Genomic DNA, 24575 nt, shown 5'->3' on the forward strand with positions numbered 1-24575 from the left:
ATTTGTGCCATGGATAAATGGTGAACAAGTGAGTTATGGCTTTAGCAGCATTAGGAGACATTAACTTTTCTGAGAATATGCAAAACCATGCTAAAAGAAAAGTATAAAGAAGTTAGGAAGGCCAGGCACAATGGCCCACGTCCGTAATCCCAGCACTTTGGGAGGCTGATGTGGGAGGATCACTTGAGCCCAGGAGTTTGAGACCAGTCTAGGAAACATGGTGAAACCCCATCTCTACAAAAAAAATGCAAAAATTAGCCAGGCGTGGTGGTGTACGCCTGTAGTCCCAGCCACTTGGGAGACTGAGATGGGAAGATCACTTGAGCCCAGAAGGCAGAGGCTGCAGTGAGCCAAGATCGTGCCACTGGGCTCCCACCTCGGTGACAGAGCAAGATCCTGTCTCAAAAAGTAGAAGCTAGATTAAGGAAGATAAACAGTGAGGGCTGCTTTTATTCTAGGGTTGTCAGGGAAGCTCTTTTGATGGCATTTGAGTACAGACCTGAAGAGAGTGAGATGTGCCATAAAGATATCTGGGGACAGAGCATCCCAGGCAGAGGAAGGGGCAAGGACAAAAATGACAAAGAATTGCTAGAATTTAGGAATGAGTCATGGTTGACTGCCAGTTTGTCTTGCCTGAGAATTTGGAAGAATGAGATTGTCATTCTCTGAGGTGAAGACTCTGGGCACTGAGTTAGGCAGGATCTCCCTGGGCACCATCAGCAGGAGTCACTGCAGGACACCCTCAAGTGGCCTCACAGATAAGATTTCAGGAAAGGGAAGCCAGAGATAGAGAGGGAGAGAGAGAGAGAGAGAAATGGCAAATGTCAGGTAGGACTGTCACTAACAGAGTGAGTGTTATCAAGGGTCATGGGCCGTGCCTCTCCTGGGGGGAATGGGGGAAGCCTGTTGTGTAAGGAGGAAGACATTGGGATAAAACCATCTATAAACCAAGCAGAGAGGCCTCAGAGGAAACCAATCCTGCCGACACCTTGATCTTGAACTTCTAGCCTGCAGAACTGTGAGAAAATGAATTTCTATTGCTTAAGCCACCCAGTCTGTGGTACTTTGTTATGGCAGCCCTAGTGAACTGCCACCCTTACGCCCTAAGATGCCTGAGAGTGAGGTGATTGCAGAAGTTTTGTTTGCTAATGTTATGTAATATTGTGACTGTCTTGGTATCCTCTTATCAGGGGCTGAAATCCACTCGACTTCTAAGGACTTCTAAGGACCACTTTTTCCAGAAAGATTCTCCAATCTCATTTCTCTTCTTTCTTTATCTCCTTTGAATGCCCATGAAGCCTACTCTGCAATGATTCTAGATCAGAGATGCACATAAAAATGACTTCGTTAAATTGTACTCAGCAAATATTCCTGTGCTGCTTCTGCCTCCGAGCTCCTGAATTAGAAACTCAGAAACCGTAGGTGGGAAAAGATACATTCAAGAAAAAGATGGAATATAACTGGCGTAACCACAGGTAAGCAAGTAGCCCATGTGGCACTTATTTTGAAACATAGAACTAGGACTTAATGTGGAACAGTTTTATACTGTGCACTCTTTCACTCCATGAATTCAATCTGAATTTCTCCAGTCTTAAGATACATGAGAACCCTTTGCTCTGCTTCTGTTGACTAGTGCCTGGTGCTTTGTATGCAGTAGATAATTAATAATTATGTAATCATTGCTGAAACACATAAAATACTGTATGCTATTATATCAGAACCTGGAAGCTTGTTCTCTGACATTTTATAGGACATTTTTGCATCTGATTATTTTAGAAAATTGCACTATATTGTTTGTTAAATTGAACATAATGGAAGCATTGGAAGTTCCAGTAGATTGTTCTCTGGGTGGCTTCCAGTGAACCCAGCCTCCTGGTATTAATACCATGGGGTAGCCTCTTCCCAGGATGACCCCAGCTTGGTCATGTAACCAGCTTTTGTCAGTGGGACAATAACAAGTGCCATGCAAACAGAGTTTTGTAAGCTCGGGGAGCACCATAGGATCATGTGGGTCACAGATACGATTTTCAAATTTTTAGCAGCCATGTTGGAAAAATAAGCCAATAAGGTTAATAGTATGCTTTATTTAACAAAAACAATTATTTCAAAATGTAATCAAGATTTTTTTAAAAAGTGCTAGTGGTATTGTACCCGTTAATTCTTCAGACTGTGTTTTTAAACTCAGGTGTGCGTTTTGCAGGTAAGTGACATCTCAATTCAGACCAACCACATTCCGAGTGCTCTATTGTCATGTGTAGTTAGTGGCTAGTGTCTGGGGCAGTGCAGGCTTAAACTTGGGTCTTGTCTTCCTGGAACTCTTCTTTTTAAGATTCTCCCCTTGGCAACCTACCTGCCGTGCTGTGAGAAGCCCAGCTCAGCCATGTGAAGAGGCCCCATGAAGGAGAAACAAGACATGGCCACTAGCCCTAGCCGAGCTCCTTGCTGGTAGCCAGCATGCCAACCTCCCATCCATATGAGTAAGTCATCTTGGAAGTGGATTCTCCAGCCACATTAGAGTCATCCCAGCTGATGCCATATGGGCCAGAGATGAGCTCTGCCTAAATTGGAGAATTTTGAGCAAATAGTTGTAGCTGTTTTAAGCCATCAAATATGTGATGATTTGTTAAGTAGCAATAGATAATGAAAATGGGAGTTATCAAGGATACCAGCCAATGGAGCATTAATGATTTTCTTTTCTCCTTCAAGCATTCATTCATTTTTATCTTGCCTATCCAGCATGCTCAACCTGAGTTGAAGTAAGACAGAAAAGGAGCAAAAGTCTAGTTGACCATCTGTTAGGAATTTACAGGTGAACTCAGCAGGCACTACACTTTGGGGATGGAGAATTAGCTCAGGCTCACAGATGCTGAGTTCTAATCCTGGCATCGCCACTGACTTGCAATATGATTTTAACCAACTCAGTTCCTCTCTCTGACCAATTTTATTGCTATATCCTTTCTAATAAATATAATATAAGGGTTAAAGGAGGTTATAGATGTGAAAGAAGGGAAAGAAAAAACAATCAAAACTAATAGAGGATGTCCTGGCCTTTTTGCATCTTTGTATGTTCGGGGATTCAACAAATGATGCTAAATAACCAAACAAATGAATGAAGAAAGTATCATACCACAAGAAAGAAAATTGTGGTTAGACATAAGGATTTCTGCTGGGTAGATAGTGGAAAGAGTTACAACATTGATGAGGAGAAGGTGGAAGAGGTGGATGAAGATAGCTGGTATTCTGTGAGCTCCCACCATGTCCCTAGGAGCATACAAAATCGTGAGTGTATTTTTATGTATATTCATTCATACTATTATTGAAGCAATGCAACATGCCTCTGAAGTAGGCACAGTTAGGCTAGGTCCCTTGACAAAGAGACTGAAAACCAAGTCAGATAGAAGACCTAGTGTTCGATCGATCAGTAGGGTGACTAACATTTACGTCATCTATGTACATTTCAAAATAGCTAGAAGGGAATAATTTGAATGTTTCTAGCACAAAGAAAAGACAAATATTTAAGGTGATGAATATCCAATTACACCGATTTGATCTTTATAAGTTATATGAATGTATTAAATTATCACATGTACCCTGAAAATAGATACATCTATTATGTATCAATAAGACATGTTAAATAAAGAAAGAAACAATTTCATGAGTCATCATCAAAGGGAAAAATTATTATCTAGGTTTATTCAAGCTCAAAAAAAGGAGAGAGAAACTCAGGAGTAGAAAAGTGATGAGGCCGCCGGCTGCTGTTAGAGAGGCTCCATTCAGTATCTAAGTGAAAAGAAAATGGGCAAAGGGAAAGATGGAAACAGGAAACAGAGTAAGAGTCTTGCATAATGTCTTGAGGAGGAGAAGAGGGAAGAGTAGAAGGAATGATGGGAAAAGGGAGGGGACAAGAAAAGGGAAAAAGAAAGTGAAAGGGAAGGAGAAATCATAAAAGTATTGATGGATCTAGCACTAATAGCACCAAGCATCACTAGCAAAGCCAGCTTCACGGGGGTGTGGCCGATGCATATGGCCCTGTGTTTAGAAGAGATCCATGTTTAGTTTCATGCCCTGCTGTTACCATCTTGAAAATCTTAATTTTTGATCAAGAGGTCCCACATTTTCATTTTGCACTGGGCCCACAAATTCTTACATACGGTCCTAGTACCACAGTATTCATGCATTGAGCTTTTATTATGAAGCACTGTGGAGATCATTATGCACACATAACTTCATTTCCATGAGACTATGAATGAACCCCCGTGCTGTGAGCACAGACAGGAAGGACCCACGAGGTGATGGTGAGAAAGTCAGTGGACGTCAGTGGCTGAGAGGCTGTGAGGACAGAGGGAAAGAATAACAGGCAATCCCTGCTTGGTGGTTTGGTTCTCTCTTCCCCAGGGAGCTGCCCAGTGACCACAAAGAGAAAGACATGTTCTCGTCTACAGTGGTCAGGTTAGAGAAGGCGCCCTTAGCAGCAGACCTTGTGTCTCAAAGGCCATAACACGAGCTGACAATTCTTTGTTACTAGATTTTGCCCCTGCCCTACTAAGCCTGTTATTTAATATACAGAAAATACTAGGGCATCATTCATTCACCCATTCATTTATTCCTTTTACATTTTATGAACACTCAGGAAATGCCAGATGTCATGCTGATCTTAAGAAAGAAGGAAAAATAAGTAAGTTCATGCCTTCCTTCAGGAAGCCTCCATTTCATGACCTCAAAAGTATAAGATGCATCAGAAAATATAATGCAAGACAGAAAGTGTTAAGTGCTGGGACCTTGGAGGAGTTATCATAAGGACAAAGAGGCCCTGTGAATTGGCCCTGAATGGTAAGTGAGTGGTGGAAAATTGGGGCTTGACGTCTGACCTCAGTCTCTTTACTTACCCTGCAAGAATCTCTGCTTCTAGGGCATCTAAAAAAATAGTCTCCCTTGATAGCAGAATGAGTCCCCTTATTCTTTGCCACCTGCAAGTGCCGAATTTCGGCATCTTTTCCCCAAACCTCTAGACACACTGCATGGGAACCTCAGCTGAGCAAACACACACACACACCACACACACACACACACACACACATACATAGGCACACACAGGCTCTCCGCTGTTCAGTAGATGTGGGGATAGGATGTGGCATGAAATGAGAATGAAGTGTAAATTCCCACACGGTTGGAAGGAATCTCATACCATAAAACCCAAGCACAACATAATCAATATGGCGGCCCTCCACCTCACCATTCTAGAACCAGTTGAATCAGGAACAGGTTAAGTCCCTTGTTTAAAAAGAAAAAAAAAAATCAAGTCAAAACAAAACAGACCATTTCATCCTTCAAGCAGCATTCCCAGAAGTTGTGGTAAGAGACTTCATGAAAGTGCCGGCCACTCCACCTTCTACCTTCCCCACTCCCTAAGCTTTCATAAACACTTGCCATTTCATAAAAGTTACAGTTTTACACATGATTTCTAAGCTGCCAACAATGTACAGTGTGCACCGCCCCGCCTGTTCCAACATGTTTTATAAACATAACAAGCTGTAGCAGCCACCCCAGATGTTTTCACAACTTATTTTTTTCATAATTTAAAATCTGTTTGACCTGATGTTTTTTGCTCTGTGTGCATTTCAACTGTAAAAAAGGAAACTGAAATATTATTCATGTGGTGTTATGCTGTTACACCTAATTTCTTCTCAAGTTCACACTAAACTGAAATGTCTCTAGGAACCTTAAAAAAGGCAACAGCCGAGAAAGTGAGGAAATATGTCAAGCACTTGTAAATAAACAGCTGGCTCCCAACATATGGATTTTCTTCTATATTTTTCAGGTGCCACAATCTCCCATCCGTATCTGCCAGCCCTGCAGCATGCGGCATAATTCAACTGTAATTGATAATGTAAAGGCAGATGGAGAGGACTGTCAGCTCCTCCCTTGGATCTCTGGGGACGCTGCAGAAATCAAAGCAGATGGCCCAATTGCATCTTCTTTATGTGTTGCTGCAAGCTTCTCTGTCTGCAAGATAATGGATCATTACGGCCTGCTGTGTACAAACACCAATATGCTTTTAAATCTGGTTCTCAAGCTTATGAAAAAGCACTATATTTCATATTAATTTGTGAAGCTGCACTTAACAAGGTCCACTGTTGTTAATTTACGATTTGGAAGGGTGGGAGGGAGAAGTTCCCATGGAGAGCTCTCCTCTGCCTTCTCCCCTCCCCCATCTTGGCTCTCTCTGCCTCCCCCGGCCCTGCCTCCCATCCGGCAAGAGGTGGTCAGCTGAAGAGAACACAATATCCAGATCTGCTGCTCTGATATTCAATTGACGCATTGGATTCCGACAGTCAGAGGTTTGCTGAACATGCCACTGGGGAAGAGGTTGGGTTTTAATCCCCCAACAGTGGCATGGATACTGGAAAGGAGAAAGTCTCAGAATCATTCTTTCTGCACTCTCTTGCCTCCTCCTCCTGCCTCTCCAGTGAGGAAAAAGAAGGCAAGGGAAGTAGGAAACTCAGTGTCCTACCTGCTCTATCACAACGTTTACGGGGAAGGGTTCATGGCAAAATTGCAAAATCGAAAAGATTTTCAGTGGTACATACACATCCACATTCAAGAGACCTTCTCCTTTCTCCCTTGACAAGTATTTTAAGCCCTCACTGTGTACCAAAAAATATTCTGAGTTCAGAGGACACCAAGGGGAATAATATGAAATGAATACCCCTAGCTCTAGCAGCTTGTGACTGTAGCTATCTCAACTGAAAACTTGTAAAGAATGTGAAAGAGGTGCTTGATTGTGCTGGTCCCAGGCTGCTGTAGGAACATAGAGGCAGAACAAATAAATCCTGCTCAGAACCTTGAAAGTGTGACCTACGGGGTGGGTAGGACTTGGGCCAGGTAACAAGATATACAGAAGATATTGAGGTGTAGTAGATTTTACACTGCATGATGGAGAACTTTTGAGAAATCTTGATTTGTAATGTGAAAGAATTGCATTCTTCCATTCTTGGCTCAGAGCCTACCTTGCTCTCCTTTGTCCTATTCCAACAGAGCTTTAAAGCCAGTTGCTCATGAGATGCCAGTAACTAAAGGCTTAAAGAAGGGGCACAGTGGCTCACACCTGTAATCCCAACACTTTGGGAGGCTGAGTCAGGAAGACCGCTTGAGCTCAGGCATTCCAGACCAGCCTGAGCAATGTGAGGAGACCCCGTCTCTACAAAAAATAAAAAACTTAGCCAAGGGCAATGGTGTGTGCCCATAGTCCCAGCTACTTGTGAGGCTGAGGTGAGAGGATCACTTGAGCCCAGGAAGTTGAGGCTGCAGTGAGCTGTGATTGCACTTCAGTCTGGGAGAGAGAGAAAGACGTTGTCTCCCCTGAAAAAGGGGAGGGGGTTGCAACTCGAATGCCTACAAAGATCCAGCATATAAAATTGGGTGTAGCTGGCCAGCTGTGCCATAAAAAGGGATGAGTTGGGAGTCAGGGAACTGGAGAGGCAGGCTGTGTAGACCAAAGGAAACCCCTCTGCTGGCAAGAATAGTGGAGGCCACCAGGTTGTAGTTCTTGCCTTTGGTTACTAAAACTAACTAGTAGTGAGGGATGGGGAGAGAAAGAGAGGTTAGTTAATGGATACAACAATACAGTTAACTAGAAGGAATAAGATCTAGTCTTCGATAGCACCATAGGGTGACTATAATTAACAATAATGTATCGTATATTTCAAAATAGACAGAAGAATATATTTGGAATGTTCTCAATACAAAGAAATGATAAATGTTTGAGGTGATGGATGTCACAATTATGCAGATTTGATTATTGTACTTTGCATGCTTGTGTCAGAATATCACACACACCCCATAGATATGCACAACTACTATGTGCATGAAAAATAAATGAAAAATAAAATTATCTAAATAATAAAAGCTAGAAAAGCCTAAGTACTTCATATACATCACTTAGTTTTGTTTTTTTTTCTCATGCAGCAACCCAAAGTACCCCCAAACCATAGAACAGTGCTATTGGCTTGCACAGCTCCCTATAGATCTGCCCCCTTCAGGCAACTATGAGCTAGGGGAGAAACAGGAGCAACAGAGCAAGTGGATGCTCCCTGACTCCAAGGCTGTGCCAATGCCTCCCTTTAACCAGAATCCAGAAACTGTGTGTGCTGTCATGTTTTGCTTGAATCTCACAATTTAAGACAATAATATTAATCATAGAAATAATGAAATGTAAAAATTGGCAGATACTAGCTCTAAAGCCAGATTCCAGCTTCTCATAAAATTTCAGAAGATCTGACAAGCCAGAGACGCATGATCATGTGGCAAGCCTCACCTGGAGCCTAGTACCGACAAGGCCCACCCCTCGTGGTGGCTGTGAACACCATGGCCAAAGGCAGAAACCACCAGTTAGTGGGGCTCATTATGGCAGAACAAATGATTCTCACTCACCTTCTTTCCACGTGAAATTACAACTCCCTGAAAAACAAAGCACCTGTGGTCTTCCCAGGCAAGGACTTTTTCATTAGCATTCTGATGGTGAATAATATCTATCTCATTTCTCTCATAGGCAAACAAATAACTAAAAGAAAACAGAACCACATACGGTAGCCCCTAAATGTGTTTTTTTTCTTACTGACATGAATTAATTACACAGTAATCATAAATGAGACTCATGTTCATTTCTTCATTTGCTAGATAGTTATAATAGTTAAACAGCTAAAATGGTTCATGGTTTATCACTGAACCATGATTGTATTGAGTTGACCGAAGACAAGAGACTGTGTTAAGTCTCCTGGAATCACAGCAGTAGAAGAAGTCATGAAGCAATCCCCTCGAATGAGCTGAACAACAGTAGGAACAATTAGTTTTAATAGTTAAGATTCCCAAGACGTCTTATCTAATCTTATTTTCAAAACTCTCAAAAATGTTTAGTTTTTCAAAATAAGCAAAAGTGCAATTGTGCGGGTACGTTGGTATGAACTGATTCTATATTCTTTCAATATAATGGTGACACTGATTGGGGGTAACTTTCTTCATCTCTTTTCCTGCGTTTGTGAAAAAGGATAGAGCCAGAGATTGGTCTATACACACAAGGCATTCTATTAACCTCTTAGGGTCTCAAAATTTATTCTTTCACTCACTCATTAATTCATTCAACTCGTATCTACCAAATGCCCACTATGAGCCAGGTTCCTTCCAGTTCAACTATTTCTTGAATGATGAATGGAATTTATCTGATTTTAATGCAGGTTCATCAATAGGCAGACATTTTATTCATTCCCCTTTCCAATTCTGACTTTGCAAGACAGGAAACCCTATATACACATCCACCTTAAGCAGTGGGGAAGGGAGGTCAGTCTAAATGGGGCTCAGGAAGAACCCTGGAATCACATTCTGCAACCAGATTTGGAAACTTCTCCTCTGTAGTGTCTTCTCTCAGAATAATGAGGGGAAACCAATTGGTAATCTAACCGCTGCAGCACAAGGCTTAGCTTTCTTGCCTGTCTTCCACATTGGTCTGCATGTTCTTCAAGGTCCATGTGGCAGTGTATATTGAGCATGGCCTTTGGGGTCTGATAGACCTGAGTTTAAATCTCGGGTTTGTACTTACTTGCTGTGTCATCTTGGGGTGCTTACTCAATCTCTCTAAATCTCTAATCATTCATTGAGTAAAATACAATAAATAATAATTACATCACAGAGTTATATATAATGAAACAAAAAATAAGGCTGATAACATGCATATCACAATATGAGGCACATAGTAGGTATCATTTGGGATCATTCCCATGTCTCCAGAGGCAATGTCTCATTTGTCCATGGCCCCAATATACACACTACTCAGAGAATATGTTTTGAACTAAAAGAAGTATTTTCCTGTCTAGCTCGCCATTTGGACTGGCCTCCTTTCAGTTGGAATTAAAAATGTTGGTTCTTACTACTTTTATATCCCTTAGTGTCTCTAATGCCCCTCCCCAGACGTAAGGAACATGGTCAGTTTTTCCTCCTGAAACGCAAAGATTGTCACACCAGAAAATCTAAAAGCACAAGAGATTCAGGTCTTGTGTTTTGGGTTTTAGTTTGCAACTTGGGGGTATAACTTCTCTGAGAGCAAAGACAAACCTTAAATTATGGCATCATTTGCCAAATGTGGGATGATTTCAAGTTGCCTTAGCTAGATATCTCCTGAGGTTGAGGTTGAGGCCACAGGTCCCTGCACAGTGGCTGTTGAGATTTCGCAGCTCACCTGCTCCTGGCATCCTTGATACGGAGCAAGCTTGAAGCCTCATACTGATACTGCACCAAATAACTCAGAATGCTTTGTAAAAGTTAGTACATGTTTATTAGGAGCTTAGAAGGGCCTTGAGATTCCAAGACCACTCTGCCAGAAAGAATATGTGCATGGATGAGGAATATCTCATTTCTTTCCAAAATTGTCCCTCACTTTCCCTACCTATCTACCAAATGTTGTTGTTATTGTTCCAACCCCCAGGGATGTTTTGAAGTTAAATTGAGTGCCATACATGAGAAAGAGCTGTAAAATACATCATGCATACAACTGCTCCATTATTACTGATGAGGCAATCGGGTAGCATTTCAAAGAACATGGGCTTCAGGGTCAGATAAAATTAGGTCTGAAGCCCCACTTTTGAGCCTCAGGTTCTTATCTGGAAAATGCAGATAACTACCTTATAGGATAGGTAGTGTTTCACATCATCCTTGGCAAATAGTATGTATATGGTGACTGATAACAAGAATAAAGACAGAACGGGTGTGGTGGCTCATGCCTGTAATCCCAGCACTTTGGGAGGGATTTGGGAGGATCACCTGAGGTCAGGAGTTCGAGACTGGCCTGACCAACATGGTAAAACCCCCATCTACACTAAAAATACAAAAAATTAGCCAGGCATGGTGGTGGGCATCTGTAATTCCAGCTACTCGGGAGGCTGAGGCAGGAGAATCACTTGAACCTGGGAGGTGGAGGTTGCAGTGAACGCCACTGCACTCCAGCCTGGGCAATGAAAGTGAAACCCCGTCTCAAAAGAAATAAACAAAAATAATAAAGACAATAATATTAATAGAATAGTAACAATAGTTAACATACATTGAACATTTTCCCTGTTTCAGGTATGGTATTACATACTTTGCATGCTTTATCCCATTAACTCCTTGCAACAACCCTGAAACTGATGCTATTATTATCCCCACTTCACAGATTAGGAAGCAGAGGCCCAAAAAGATGAAAAAATTTGCCCAGATTCAAACTAGATGGGCTGATCACAGCCCTGACTTCAGAAGCAAGATGTTTCCGTGAGAGCTAACATTTATCATTATCATTATTGGAGCTAGGATGTTGCTTCCAAGTCCAATGCCTGTGCCCTGCACTTACTCCCTTTGCAACATCTGTCATGATGCCAAATCATTCCAATTTTTCTTGACTGATTCTGATGTTGGGAACCTTACTACTTGCGACTGCCCTGTCCAGCATCAAAACTCCATGACCCTAACATTTCTTCAAGGACTATAGAGGTTTGTGCCCTTAGAAATAGCTAGGAACAAGGAATGACTAAGGAAAAGTAGCAGATTAAGAGAGAGTGAGAAAAAAACAGCAACCAAATGCAACGTGGGACACTGGATTGCATCCCAGACAAAAAAAAAAGAACATTAGGGAAAGACTGGTGAGATTCAAATAGGGCCTGCCATCTAGTGAATAGTATTGTACCAATGTTAATTTCCTGCTTTTGATCATTTTACAGTCGTTGTGGAAGACGTCAATATGAAGGAAAACTGGGTGAGGGGTATATAGGGACTCTATAGTTTTGCAACTTTTCTGTAAGTCTAAAATTAGTTCAAACTAAAAAGTTTAAAATATATATCCAGAAAACAAAGGAAATTTGAACTAATGATAAGAGAAGAGAGAGGGTTTTGTTTTTTGTTTTTTGTTGTTGTTTTTTTTTTTTTTTCTAAAAGAAGAGGAGACCCAAAAGAGAGCATGACTGGGGTTTTGTTTTGCACAGAGCTAATATCAGAAGGAAACAAAGATGCATTGGCAAGCCCCTCTGTGGGCTTCCTGACTGGGGGATGCTATTGTTCCTAGACATCAGAGGATCCTCTCCCATGCTCAGCACACACCTTGTCTGCACTACCTCACACTCAGATACCCCACCACATGACTGTGCCACCTTCAGCCTCAGCAAGCCTGAGAAACACGAAGAACACAGATCATGATTAAAAAGCCCTTCTGTGCACAGAACAATTCTGGAGTTAATGCAACCCCGAAGGAACTGATGGCAAGCCCCATGGAGCAGGGGTTACCTTGGGACTCAGCATAGTGCTTAATAACACTCCATAAAAGCCCATTGGTAAATACAGATTGTCCTCGACTTATAATGGCTCAATTCAAGATTTTTCAGTTATGATGGGTTTATGCAGGTGTAAACCCCATGCTAAGTCAAAGAGCTCCTTACAATTTACCATGGAGTTATGGTTTCTACTGAATTCTTACCACTTTTGCACCAACTTGAAGTAAAAAAATCAGCAAGTGAAACCATTGTAAGTCAGTCAAGGACCCTGTGCAGTGTTGCCAGCATGAAATGTACTTTTGACTCAGGATGGGTTTATCAGGATACAGCTCCCTTGTAAGTTGAGAGGCATCTCTGCATCAGTGAGTGGATGGAAGGTGACTATTAACTTGCCATTAACCAGTCCTTTGGGCCTAACAAATTCAATGTTTAGGATGAACTTTGAAAATAGTGAAGTTATATAGATTATATGTCTAAGAAGTTATATAATAAAGTTGTATAGATTATATGTCTAAGAAGAACTTTGAACTGAATATGAAATTGCCTCTGATATTTGTTATGAGCTTGACATTTGTGGAGAATTTTAGAGATTAAATCCTTTTGCAACATGCTGCACCTATACATTATGATGGGCTGAAAAACACGGAGTGTTTATTAACTGGGGCTTCTGAAGTATCTCTTTCGAATAAGGAGGCATGTTTATTTATTTGTCACTTTTCTCTATTTGGAACTCAGGTCGGTTGCTATCATTTCCCTGCTCAAATCCTTCCTTTCCCATATTATACATGTATTTGCTGATTGTCTGTCTCCACTCCCTGGATGTAAATTCCATGGGACAAGGACTATGTGGCTTTGGTCAGTCCCATAATCAAAGGGCTGAGGGTAATACCTCACAGAATAGGTGCTCGATAAACGCTGATCATATATATGATGATTTGTCACCTAGGAGCAGTTCCCTACAAGTAATAAGGTGCTGTCACAGATTTTATGCATATCCCCTAAGAGCTCCATGGGGTGTTTGGAAATCAAGGCACTGAGAAAGAAAGGTCCCACAGCCAACAGAGAGGAGCCCGCACTCCAACTTAGAGTTTCAGACCTCCTAATGTGGCAACTTTCCTCACACACCACCATGGAATTCCACCAAACCAAAACCCCCTCCACTTCCAGCCCCACCCGGCCACCAGGCACCTAGCTAGGCCTCAGGGCCCCCACTTTCCCCCTCACTGTATATCAAAATATGCCTTTGAGGTGTGCACAAACCGAGTTAGTTTTCTTTTTCCCACCACATAGAAAAGTGTCTTGCCTTCTTTCACCAGCTTTTCAGTGTGAGTGTCATTCCAATAAGTGCATTCTCGTAATCCCAGGACACTCCCTATCACAGCATTTCTGATCCCTGCAGAAGAATGTCTTTTATTCTTAACTCTGCCTCATTCTCATACTGGGCTCAATGGGATTTATTAAGGCAATTATTTTTTTGCAAATGAATTGGCATCTGAGCAATGAATCTAACAGGCAAAAACCCCCTTTATTATTATTTTTTTCAGGTCAGCAGATTCACTGGTCATTTCCTTAATAGGTACTAATTCAGTCCTTCCTGAATAGGAGGTTGGGGCATCGCTTGAAGACTTCTTAGATCAGAAGAAAATTCAGAAACACTCCTGACAAGAAAAAAAAAAGAAAAAAATATATATAGGATCAAAGGGATACACCCATTACACCCCCACACTCCCCCAGCCTCCAGGCTCAAACGAAGGGGCAGCACTGGAGAAGAGGGAGGTCAGGAAGCTCTCCTGAGCATACAGGTGGACAGACCATTCTCTTTGACTAGATATCAGTGGGGGTAGCACTAAAAGGCTGAGTTCCCACTACCCCCAATCTTAGTTTTTAAATCAACACCTACCTAAAAACTTCCATGGCTCTAGAGGGCACAATTCTCCATGCCTTGTTTCCTGGTCCTTACTCAATATTCTGATCAGACATCACTGTCTCCACTTTGCAGGTGGGGAAACTTAGATTTGTCCAAGTGTGAAGCCGGGGTGGGGGAGGGGCAGCATGAAGAAAGCCTTGGTTTTGTGTGTCCTTCTGAGATCATGAACTCTGTAATGAGACTGCAGACAGGTGTTCCAGGGTCCTGTGCTTGCTAGCTGTGTGACCTTGGGCTGGTCACTGTTACTCAACCATTTCCTCATCAGTGAGCAGGGAATAGTAATAGTACCTAGCTCAAATGAAACAGCAGATATAAAGGCCTTGGTGCCGCATCTGGAATACAGACAGCAGTCACAAATGTTGGCTTTCACTGCTGTTATTTTCTGTAGTCTTCTCTTGGGGTAACTGGCCCTGGTTAAAATAAAATGAGACTAGAGTTTTTGGCCCCATGCTGACTTCTCTGTTTTTCCTGTGGAACAACCTTATAGGTGAACTTCCCTCCCAATAAAGCTTCTGTGATAGTTGGGAAACTAAACTCTTTGAATCTTGAAACAGAATTCTTTTTCACAGAATTCCTTTCATAGAAAAGCAAAATAATTCAGTTCTGTTACAGAGAGGCAGAATTCAGGATGCATTCAACACCCAAATTCAACTACATGTGCTCTCTTTTTATGTAATTCAAAACCAGCACACAATTACGTTTTGCATGTTGCTTTGCTATGTATATTCTTGCGTGTTGCTCTGTTATGTATAGTCTGTGTATATTTTCTGTTGACACATCTGTATTACTACAGAATTATATCCATAAGATCTAGATTTCTGAGCTTCATTGTTGGACAATTTACAAGTTCCAAGGATAACTTTGACCACTCAACATTTTCATCAGTCTTTAGCATCTAACCTCTAGGTTAGAAGCAACACTGCTATACTCCACTCTTTCTTTTTTTTTTTTAATTATACTTTAAGTTTTAGGGTACACGTGCACAACATGCAGGTTAGTTACATATGTATACATGTGCCATGTTGGTGCAGCCATAAAAAATAAAGAGTTCATGTCCTTTGTAGGGACATGGATGAATCTGGAAACCATCATTCTCAGCAAACTATCACAAGGACAAAAAACCAAACACCGCATGTTCTCACTCATAGGTGGGAATTGAACAATGAGACAATGAGAACACATGGACACAGGAAGGGGAACATCACACACCGGGGCCTGTTGTGGGGTGGGGGGAGGGGGGAGGGATAGCATTAGGAGATATACCTAATGTTAAATACTCCACTCTTTCTGAAGCACTCTTCTGTTTAGAAGCTCAAAAGCCATCACCTCTGAATTCCTGATGAGGCCAAAACGAGGTAACAATAACTGAGGGTTAGTCGTCTAACATAGAGGATAACCAAGGCCCAGAGAGAGGTCTGCCCCATCTCCATGCATGGTGATGTAGTGAGTTCGTAAAACCCAGAGAATGCCTAGGTGAGTCCACATCAGAAATCAGCCAGTGGCTCCGGCACTAACAAATGAGATACACTGGCTGTTCATTTTCTAATGTAAATTCTAGATGGGAACCAGGGAGGGAGGAGAGCAAAAGAACAAATTGGATGTAATCAGAATCAGATTCAAGATAAACTGCTAATGGTTAATAGGGTCAGCCACCCAAGCAGCAGCCAGACCTGGAATTTTCCACTCTCACTCTCTGCCTGACATTCACTAGAGGCCACATGTGCATTAGTCTACAGTTCAAGTAACCAGCTCCCGGTGCTGATGAAAGGCAGGAGAAACAAGGGGAGTTACCTTCCACTCTGGCATGGCCAGGGTAAGGGAGGGAATTCCTCTTGGAGAGAAATGATAATCATAACAGCATAAAAATAACACCCAACCCCTTCATCAGCATTGCTAACAACATTAAGAGTTAACTGGCTAACTCTGCAAAAAGGGCTTTAAGTAGATGGCCTCATTAAACATTCGTAACTATCTTTGAGATAAATAGATATTCTCATTTTACAGATGAGGAAACTGAGAATCTAAGGGACCAAGATATTGACAGGAAATCACTCAGCTAAGAGGAGGCAGAGCTGGGTTTGGAGTGCATAAGCCCCAAAGGTTTGTTAGGTGCTATATCAATACACTTTTAGACTGTTTTAAAAATAATTCTAAATTTTTATTTGTTTTGCATGTACCTCATAGCTTACAAACCACTTTCAGATATTAACGTTCCTATTTTAAAGACAGAAAAAAAGTAAAGACAGCTCCAATCAGTATGCAGAAATACACTTCCAAAGAAGTAAACAGAAGGGGAAGGAAGCACTTAATTTCAGCTACTCTTCTCTCCAAAACACACCCCACAGTTACCTAGGAAGGCAGGAAAGAGTTAGTGTGTAAAGGTGCCATAGCCTAGGCTTTTCCATGTTAATGTCCAGCTAATATGGGGTGACTTCAACCATGTGCTGGATGAAAGACAGACAAGGAGGAGGAAGGGGATGAGACAAGCAGGAATGGGCTCTTGGGCCAGACTCTCTGCCCAGGCCCAGCGCTTGACAGGTACCCTGGCAGCCAGAGATATGACGGTGACAGACACAAGACAGTGTGTTATCTCATTCTCTGATTCCATCCACTCAAAGTTAATATAAAACCACCTCACTTAGACATATTATACTTCTCCATGGAAAGGAAAAGCTTCCATTTGAATATAGTCATGGCTGCAAAATCTCTCTTTTTTCAGCTTCATCGACTATCAGGATATTCAAGTCCTGGAGTTGCAATGGAATCCCTGTGGGGAAAGCTCAATTAACTCACTACAGAATGCACACAGAACAAGATGGAGGGAAAAGAGCATGAGAAGGGGGAAAAAAGACATTTCTTTTGAATAATAAAGCTCCAGATTTAAAATTAGACTGTACAATAACAGCCTTAATTCCTGGAAACCCAGATGGGGAATTAAATACATAATATATTGAGAGGAATTTGCTTTCACAGACCTTGAGGATGTAATACGTCTTTTGGCACTTCACACATCCTTGGTGGGTATTTCTGCTGAGTGGAGGAGGCTGTTAACCACCTTTTCATGGAAAACATACCTCCATCTCGAGTCAGAGGTTAAGTTATTCTCTAGCCAAAAGAAGCAATCCATAATGTTTCATTATGGAGCAGGTCTCACAATGAATAGCAGTTGGCAGAGATGGATAACTTAATATGACTCTATTCGGCAGCACTGTAAATGTATCTGTCATCTCCAAGACTGGTTGAAGTGGTCAGACGCCACTTGAGGTCCCAAGCAAAATTCTGGTTGTTTCAGGGGAGGAGCATGGCTGCTGAATGTTCACCTTAATAACAACCACAGCATGAAACATCCCTCAAGCATGTATTTAAGCATCTACTATGTGTCAAGCTACTGAGTAAAAATCTTGGCTTTAACTACTTGCAAACTCTGTAATCTTAGGTGGATAACCACCTCTAGTTCGGTTTTTTCATTTATCAAAATGGGATCAATAATAATATCTGCCTTACAGGGCTGTTGTGCAAAGCTCTTGAGGTAATGACAGGTGTACAGTAAATGCCTAATAAGGGTTAGTTGTTACCTTAACCATCTCAACCAGGGCACAGACTACTGGGAGGCAGGGGGCCTTGCAGGATACAGTGTTTAAGGGGCACTCACTTTCAGGGTCATGCATGCGTGCTTCTCTAAATGTGACACTGCAGAAACCTCACTGGTGTTACTCCAGCACCCGCCTGGATCTCAGCTTTACAGATGTGGAAAGAGAAGCCCAGAGAAAGTGAAGTAACTTACTAAAATCCACCCAGTAGACTATATGCAGAACCTGGATTCACATCCTATCTGTCCCCTACCAGTGGTCATTCTATCATTTGACCATATCACACTGCCTGAAAAGTGAGGTTTCTGGAAATGAAATTTCAACTTCCAAATTCTGGTACTCCATGTCAGGATCCTGAGCAAAACAAAGCAAAACTATCAGATCACGTAGACTTGACACCTGAAGAGACGGTTTATCTGCTGGGACCAAGAGAGTAGAGAATAGCACCCCAACATTAAGAGGCCCCTGCCGAGTCTCTTTCAAGGCCCAATTTAGGTGCTAAATAATGCAAAACTGCTTACCCTTGGAAAGTGGCTGGAGTAATGAGAACTGCATTTCACTGGTCAATAGAAAAAAAAAAAGAAGCGATACATGATTCTCTGGCAAAACCTTCCTTATCAGCTCTGTTGGGGGAAGGAAAAAAAACAAGGCAAATAAATGACAAAAGCAGAGGGAGCATCAATCATGCCATAGTTGGTCTGCCAGTTCCAGCTGCAGGCGTGCAACTCACAGGCCAACCTTTGGCTCAGAGAGGCTGGGCTCACCCCAGCTCCAGGCAGGAGACAGAGGTGTGAGCCTGGTTGGAAACCAGAGCCTCTCCTCCTCTTTGCAGCTCCGCTCCGCCACTTGCTTTCTCTGTGACTTTGGTGAAAGTAGCTAAATGCCTCTGAGTTCCCTAGCCATTTCACAGATCATCACAGCATTCTTTCTCAGCTCCAAAGGCTTGGATCCCCACAAACACAGTAGCAAAAAGAATATTCTGAAATCTCATCTTCTCTCACTTCATCCCTCTATCATTTGGAAAACTTTCTAGATCCTTCATATGTGACATCTTGCCATTGTTGTTTTTTGTGGTTGTTCAGTAAAAAGCAAAAAAAAAAAAAAAAAAAAAAAGAAAAGAAAAGAAAAGCAATAAATAGGCAAAATTTGCATAGCTATAATGAGAAATTTTATCCTTTCAACATAATTCTGAGTGCTTTGATTAGCATCAGCAAACCTATATAGGATGTCCACTTGTTCTTCAAAGCTTTGTAGCAGGCAGCATCATTTCTCTAATCCTCATAGCCTCTATTTTGCAGATGAGGAATTTGAGGTTAGAATGATGCAATGGTTTCATTTGTTCTTTTCTTTTTTCTTTTTCTTTTTTTTGAGACAGAATGAGTGGTGCAATCTTGGCTCACTGCAACCTTCGCCTCCTGGGTTCAAGCAATTCTCCTGACTCAGCCTCCCAAGTAGCAGGGATTACAGGTGCCCGCCACTACGCCTGGCTAATATTTTTGTATTTTTAGTAGAGATGGGGTTTCACCACGTTTGCCAGGCTGGTTTCAAACTCCTGACCTCAAGAGATCCACCCGCCTCAGCCTCCAAGGGATTACAGGTGTGAGCCACCATGCCCAGCCCATTTGTTCTTTTATTCATTCATTCCTTCTTCATTCACTCAGCAAACGTAATTGTGGGTCTTCTAGGTGCCAGACTCCGTGCCAGGGGCCAGAAATTCAGAGATAAATAAAACAGAGTCATGATCCTGACAGAGACAGTGTAGCAAGGTCTTTGAGCACTTACATTTTGGAATCTAACAAAGCTGGGTACAGGCCCCTACTTTAGCTGTTCATAAGCTCTCTGACCTTGGGCAATTTATTTAACCTCTCTCTGAACCTCAGGTTAATTTCTACAAAATGGGAATAATGATTTCAACTGGTTAGGGAACAAGTGAGGATTAGATGTGCTGATAATGTAAACCACTCAGCACAAGATCTCAAACACAGAAAACAGGCAATAAATAGCTGCTTTTATTATAAGCTTCAAGAACATTTTGAGTTGATGGCTGGGCCAAGCATGGCAAATGGCTATTTTTGTTTAATGATTTTTGTTTCGTCTCACAGAAGGCAGATCTCCCACGTGTTGATGAATTTTGTGGCAGCCAAGAGACGGAGAACAGACTGCCTGCCTGGTTCTCCTTGGAGTGGAAGCCGGGGGATTTCACAGACCACCCTCCAGCCCAAGGCTTGGCTATGAACCTGAGGAATACTCACCACCTCACATTAAAAAGGTCACTTTCCTTCCTGAATCAAAGGAAATGCTATATCCTTTGGCAATTCAGCTCAAATAACTTCAGCAACTCCCACAGTGGTTCAGACACCCCACCCGACAGGCAGACGCTTTTCTTCCCCTCCTAGTGCCAAGCTCCAGGGTTTGCCCAGTCTAGTTAGGGATCCCCAGCTCCAGTCCAAGAAAAGCTGCTCAATCCTGATGAACCAGGCCTTGGGTCAGATCAGAGCACCTGCCTGGGGCAAGCTGGAAAAGTCATTGTCGGGTAAATCCCAGACATAAGACACCCTGTCACCATGGTGAGGGGGACACTCACCAGAAGGGGCTGCATCCATCCCCTTGCTGCAGTCTGAGCACTGTCGGCATGCAACTCGGCACAGAAGGTTTTGTCATTTGGACTGTAATAAACCCCACTTCCTGAAACCCATGCCCTTCCAGGTTCTGCCTCAACCATGCCATCCCTGTGTCTACCCTTGCCCTGTTCAGAGCCCAGAGCACCTGCAGCTGAAGCCATTTGGAGGAGCCACTGGAGGCCTCAGGTGCCGCTCACATGTGCTAATGAAAAGTGCTCTGGCCACCTTGGAGGACAGGGGGAGCATGTTCCTGCTAAGGCAGTAGGGTTCAAATTTGGCTGCAGGCTAGAATCCTCTGGGAGCTGCCACAGTCCTGATGTCCAGGCCACAGACCAGAGCAGATAAGCTGAAATTTCTGGGGATGGGTGGGACCTAGGCATCAGTATTCTTTTAAGCTGGCCAAATAATTCCAGCATGCAGCCAAGTTTAAGAACTAGTACCTAAGGAAAGAACACTAGGCAGGGCCTACAGACGGTGTCCTTCTTACCTCTCTCTCTTTTTCCTTCCATTTCTCTTTTCCTATTTTCTTCTTTCCTTCCTTCCTTCCTTCTCTCCGCCCCTCCCTTCCTCCCTCCCCCCGACTCCCTTCCTTCCTTCCTTCCTTTGTTCCTTCCTTCCCTCCTTCCTTTTTCCTTCCTCCTTCCTTTTCTTCTGCCCTTCCTCCCCGCCTCCCTTTCTCATTAGTTACTGAAACAGCATATTCTGTAGTTAAAGCCCAGAGTTTATAGTCAGACCATTCTCATTTTTGAATTCTGGCTTTGCTGCCACTAACTGTATGACCCAAGTCAAGTTACTTCACTTCTCTGAAGTGCATCTTTCTCATTCTATACAATGGGGAAAAATCGCCGGGCACTGTGGCTCACACCTGTAATCTCAGCACTTTCAGAGGTCGAGGCGGGCGGATCACCTGAGGTCAGCAAAACCTCATCTCTAATAAAAATACAAAAATTAGCTGGCCATGGTGGAGTGCGCTTGTATTCCCACCTACTCGGGAGGCTTGAACCTGGGAGGCGGAGGTTGTAGTGACCCAAGATGGTGCCACTGCACTCCAGCCTGGGTGACAGAGTGAGACTCCATCTCAAAAAGAAAAAAAAAAAAAAGGAAAAATCTTTAGGAATTGCTACAGAGAATACTTGTGAGGATTAAATATCACAGATAAATTGCTTAGCATAGTGCCTAGCAATTAGTATGTGCTCAATAAATGTGCACTCTTTTCCTTCTAGTTATTATTGTAATTATTTGCTAAGAGCTATTCTAGATGCTGGGAAGACAAAAGGAACAATGCGGGCATGATGTGTGTTCTCACATAGCTAACTCTCTTCCCATTCAATCCCTAGGTGGGGAATGGCCCTAATTTGCTTTGCCGGGACAGGGAGGACAGAGATTTCTCTCAATAGAAATAGTGATTATGTATTGAGCATGTCCCATGTGCTGGGCACAGTTCAATCATGCCATAGACATTTGGGGGCACCTAATAGAGAAGTACAGTACTGGACATGATTCCATCACAGGCTTCCTACCCCAGAGAGGATGGTATTGATAATTACATTTTGCAGGTGAAGAATCTAAGCCTCAAGGGTTTGAGGTTGCAGTAAGCTGTGATCATGCCACTGCACTCTAGCCTGGGCGACAGAGTGAGAGATGGTATCTCAAAAAAAAAAAAAAAAAAAAAAGGCCTGGCATGATGGCTCACACCTGTAATATCAGCACTGTGGGAATCTGAGACAGGAGGATTGGTTAAGGCCAGGAGTTCAGGACACCCTGGGAAACATGGCAAGACCCTATCTCTACAAAGGTTTTAAAAAATTAAAAATAAAGAAGCCAGGTGTGGTGGTATGAATCTGTAGTCCCAGCTATTTGGGAGGCTGAGATGGAAGCATTGCTTAATTCCAGGGGTTCAAGGTTGCAGGGAGCTATGGTTTTGCTACTGCACTCCAGCACTCCAGCTTAGACAACAGAGTGAGATCTCATTTCTAAAAAAAAAAAAGAATCTGAGGCTCAGAGCCATTAAATATTTCATCCAGGGTCACACAGGCAGATGCAAAGCCAAGCTTTTAAGCACCACACTGCTGTTCTTCTTGCAAGGATGTCGGGAGTACCTGGGAGGGAATTCTGAGGTCCAGCTAGAACCAAGAGAACAAAGCAATTCCTGCAAACTGGAGGATTTTGCAGGAAAAGCACACAACCAAACTGGGGTGAGGGGTCTGGAGCAGATCAGGATAAGCATGATGACTGAGGGTAAAGTGGGGGGTCTGGGTGAATTCAGGAGTGGGGTAATAGAGGAAAACTACACAGTGGTGAGTGGGTAGTGAGTCTATTTAAAGGTTCCAGAGCAGAATAGAATGTTCCCATTTTATAGAAATCCTGGCCAAGTCTAATGATGTTGGCGTGCCTCAGTTTCCCTAACTGTAGCTATATCACCAGTACAGGTTGACGTAAAATTAAATAGCAAACTATGTGTGCTGAGCAAACATCTTGAAATATGATTTAAATGACTTATGTCAAATAGGACTTGCTTTCACAATATGGCTTTATTATCCCTAGTTGGAAGAACAATAAGCTGTTGGTGAAAAAAATCACTTAGGCAGCATGATGGAGGCTTAAGCCAGGCCTGGCTTGGACAGGAAAGTTGAGTATCCTACTTTTAGGCTTGTGGAATCTAGGTTTAATTCAAATCCTGGTTTAAATCAAGGCCCTGCTATTTACAAGGGTGTAATCTTTCTAGGCCTCAGTTTCTTCATCTGTAAAATGGAGCTAACAAAGCAGCTTTCACACAGATTGTAAGTACAGACAAAATGTTACTACGCCTGTTAAACACTGATTATGGTACTTCACATACATAAAGCATTCAAAACGTGCTAGCTATCCTGATTGGTAAGACAGCCATCACGTTCTCAGGAACTGCTCCCTCTCAGCCCTGGCCTTGGCTGCTTTTAGGTTCTCTGCTAAAGCCAAGTTTATTTTTGCTCTTCTGCCAGAGCTGGTTATGTATTATTTGTTTTGTATGGTATTTGTTTTCCAATATTTTTACTAAGTAGGACAGTTCTATCAATGAGGTCTGCTGCTTTATTGGTTGCTAATTGCTGGGGCATAATTGTTGCAACATTACTTGGTGTTCCTATAATTCTCTACAGCCAATCAAGGTAGCCAGTTCTCTAATTATAGCACAGTGAATTCTCAGTCACCAGCATCCAAACACTTACAGTGTTCAGTTTATAAGAACTCTTTCCAGCACTTTTACAAGAAAGGCTTAACTGGCAAAAGAAAGAAAGTCAGGTTCAGAAGTGTTTTTAAACCAATTTTATAATTACATATGATGTATAAAATAAACATTTTGGCCAGGTGCAGTGGCTCACATCTGTAATTCCAGCACTTTCAGAGTCCGAGGTGGGAGGATCACTTGAGATGAGGAGTTTGAGACTAGCCTGGGCAACATAGGGAGACGCCATCTCTATAAAAAATAAAATAAATAAATAAAAACTTGCCAGGGGACATGGCGTGAACCTGTAGTCCCAGGTATTTGAGACACTGAAGTGAGAAGATCTTTTGATTCCAGGAGTTCAAGGTTGTGGTGAGCTATGATTTCATTATTGCATACTAGCTTGGGTGACAGAGCAAGGCCCTGTCACAAAAATAAATAAATACATAAATAAATAAATACATAAATAAATATTTTATAATTATAGCAATAAGTATATTTTCTGAAGGTAACATCTAAAAACCATCTAAGATTTTACTTGATTTCTATCTGGACAATGAGTGTTGGTGATTATAATGATCATAATTCTGAGGCTCATATAGACCCATGGGGCCTTTGCAATATAATCAGAAATTGAACTGTCCTCAACCAAATTTTTCTAGAACTGAAAACATTTTGTTGTGTTTAAATGTTTTCTGGAACGTGGAGCCCATCTATGTCTTCCCCATAAGTCAAGGAATCAAAATATTCAATCCACTAGAATCACTAAAGATAAAGTTGGCCTTGAAAGCACTTTGTATACTGCAGAATAAAAAGCTAATTTATTATCAGTAATAAATCTGTGATTTTAATCTGATAGTATCATTTCTCTGCTTCTATTTTTTTTTTAGAGCAAAATTCAAAGTTTTAACATGACCTCCAAGGCACTACTTGTTCTGGCCCTACCAATCTCCA

At 42.1% G+C, this 24575-nt stretch overlaps 2 annotated features.

The window, feature by feature from the left end:
- Nucleotides 20033-20538: an enhancer, noted in NCBI's record as "H3K4me1 hESC enhancer chr16:51987528-51988033 (GRCh37/hg19 assembly coordinates)". NCBI's record gives its function as "activates a minimal SCP1, AML or CMV promoter by ChIP-STARR-seq in primed H9 embryonic stem cells {active_cell/tissue: H9 hESC(primed)}" and the evidence as "EXISTENCE:reporter gene assay evidence [ECO:0000049][PMID:30033119]".
- Nucleotides 20539-21043: an enhancer, noted in NCBI's record as "H3K4me1 hESC enhancer chr16:51988034-51988538 (GRCh37/hg19 assembly coordinates)". NCBI's record gives its function as "activates a minimal SCP1, AML or CMV promoter by ChIP-STARR-seq in primed H9 embryonic stem cells {active_cell/tissue: H9 hESC(primed)}" and the evidence as "EXISTENCE:reporter gene assay evidence [ECO:0000049][PMID:30033119]".

The sequence above is a fragment of the Homo sapiens genome, chromosome 16 (genome assembly GCF_000001405.40).
Source record: "Homo sapiens chromosome 16, GRCh38.p14 Primary Assembly".
Lineage (NCBI taxonomy): Eukaryota > Metazoa > Chordata > Mammalia > Primates > Hominidae > Homo > Homo sapiens.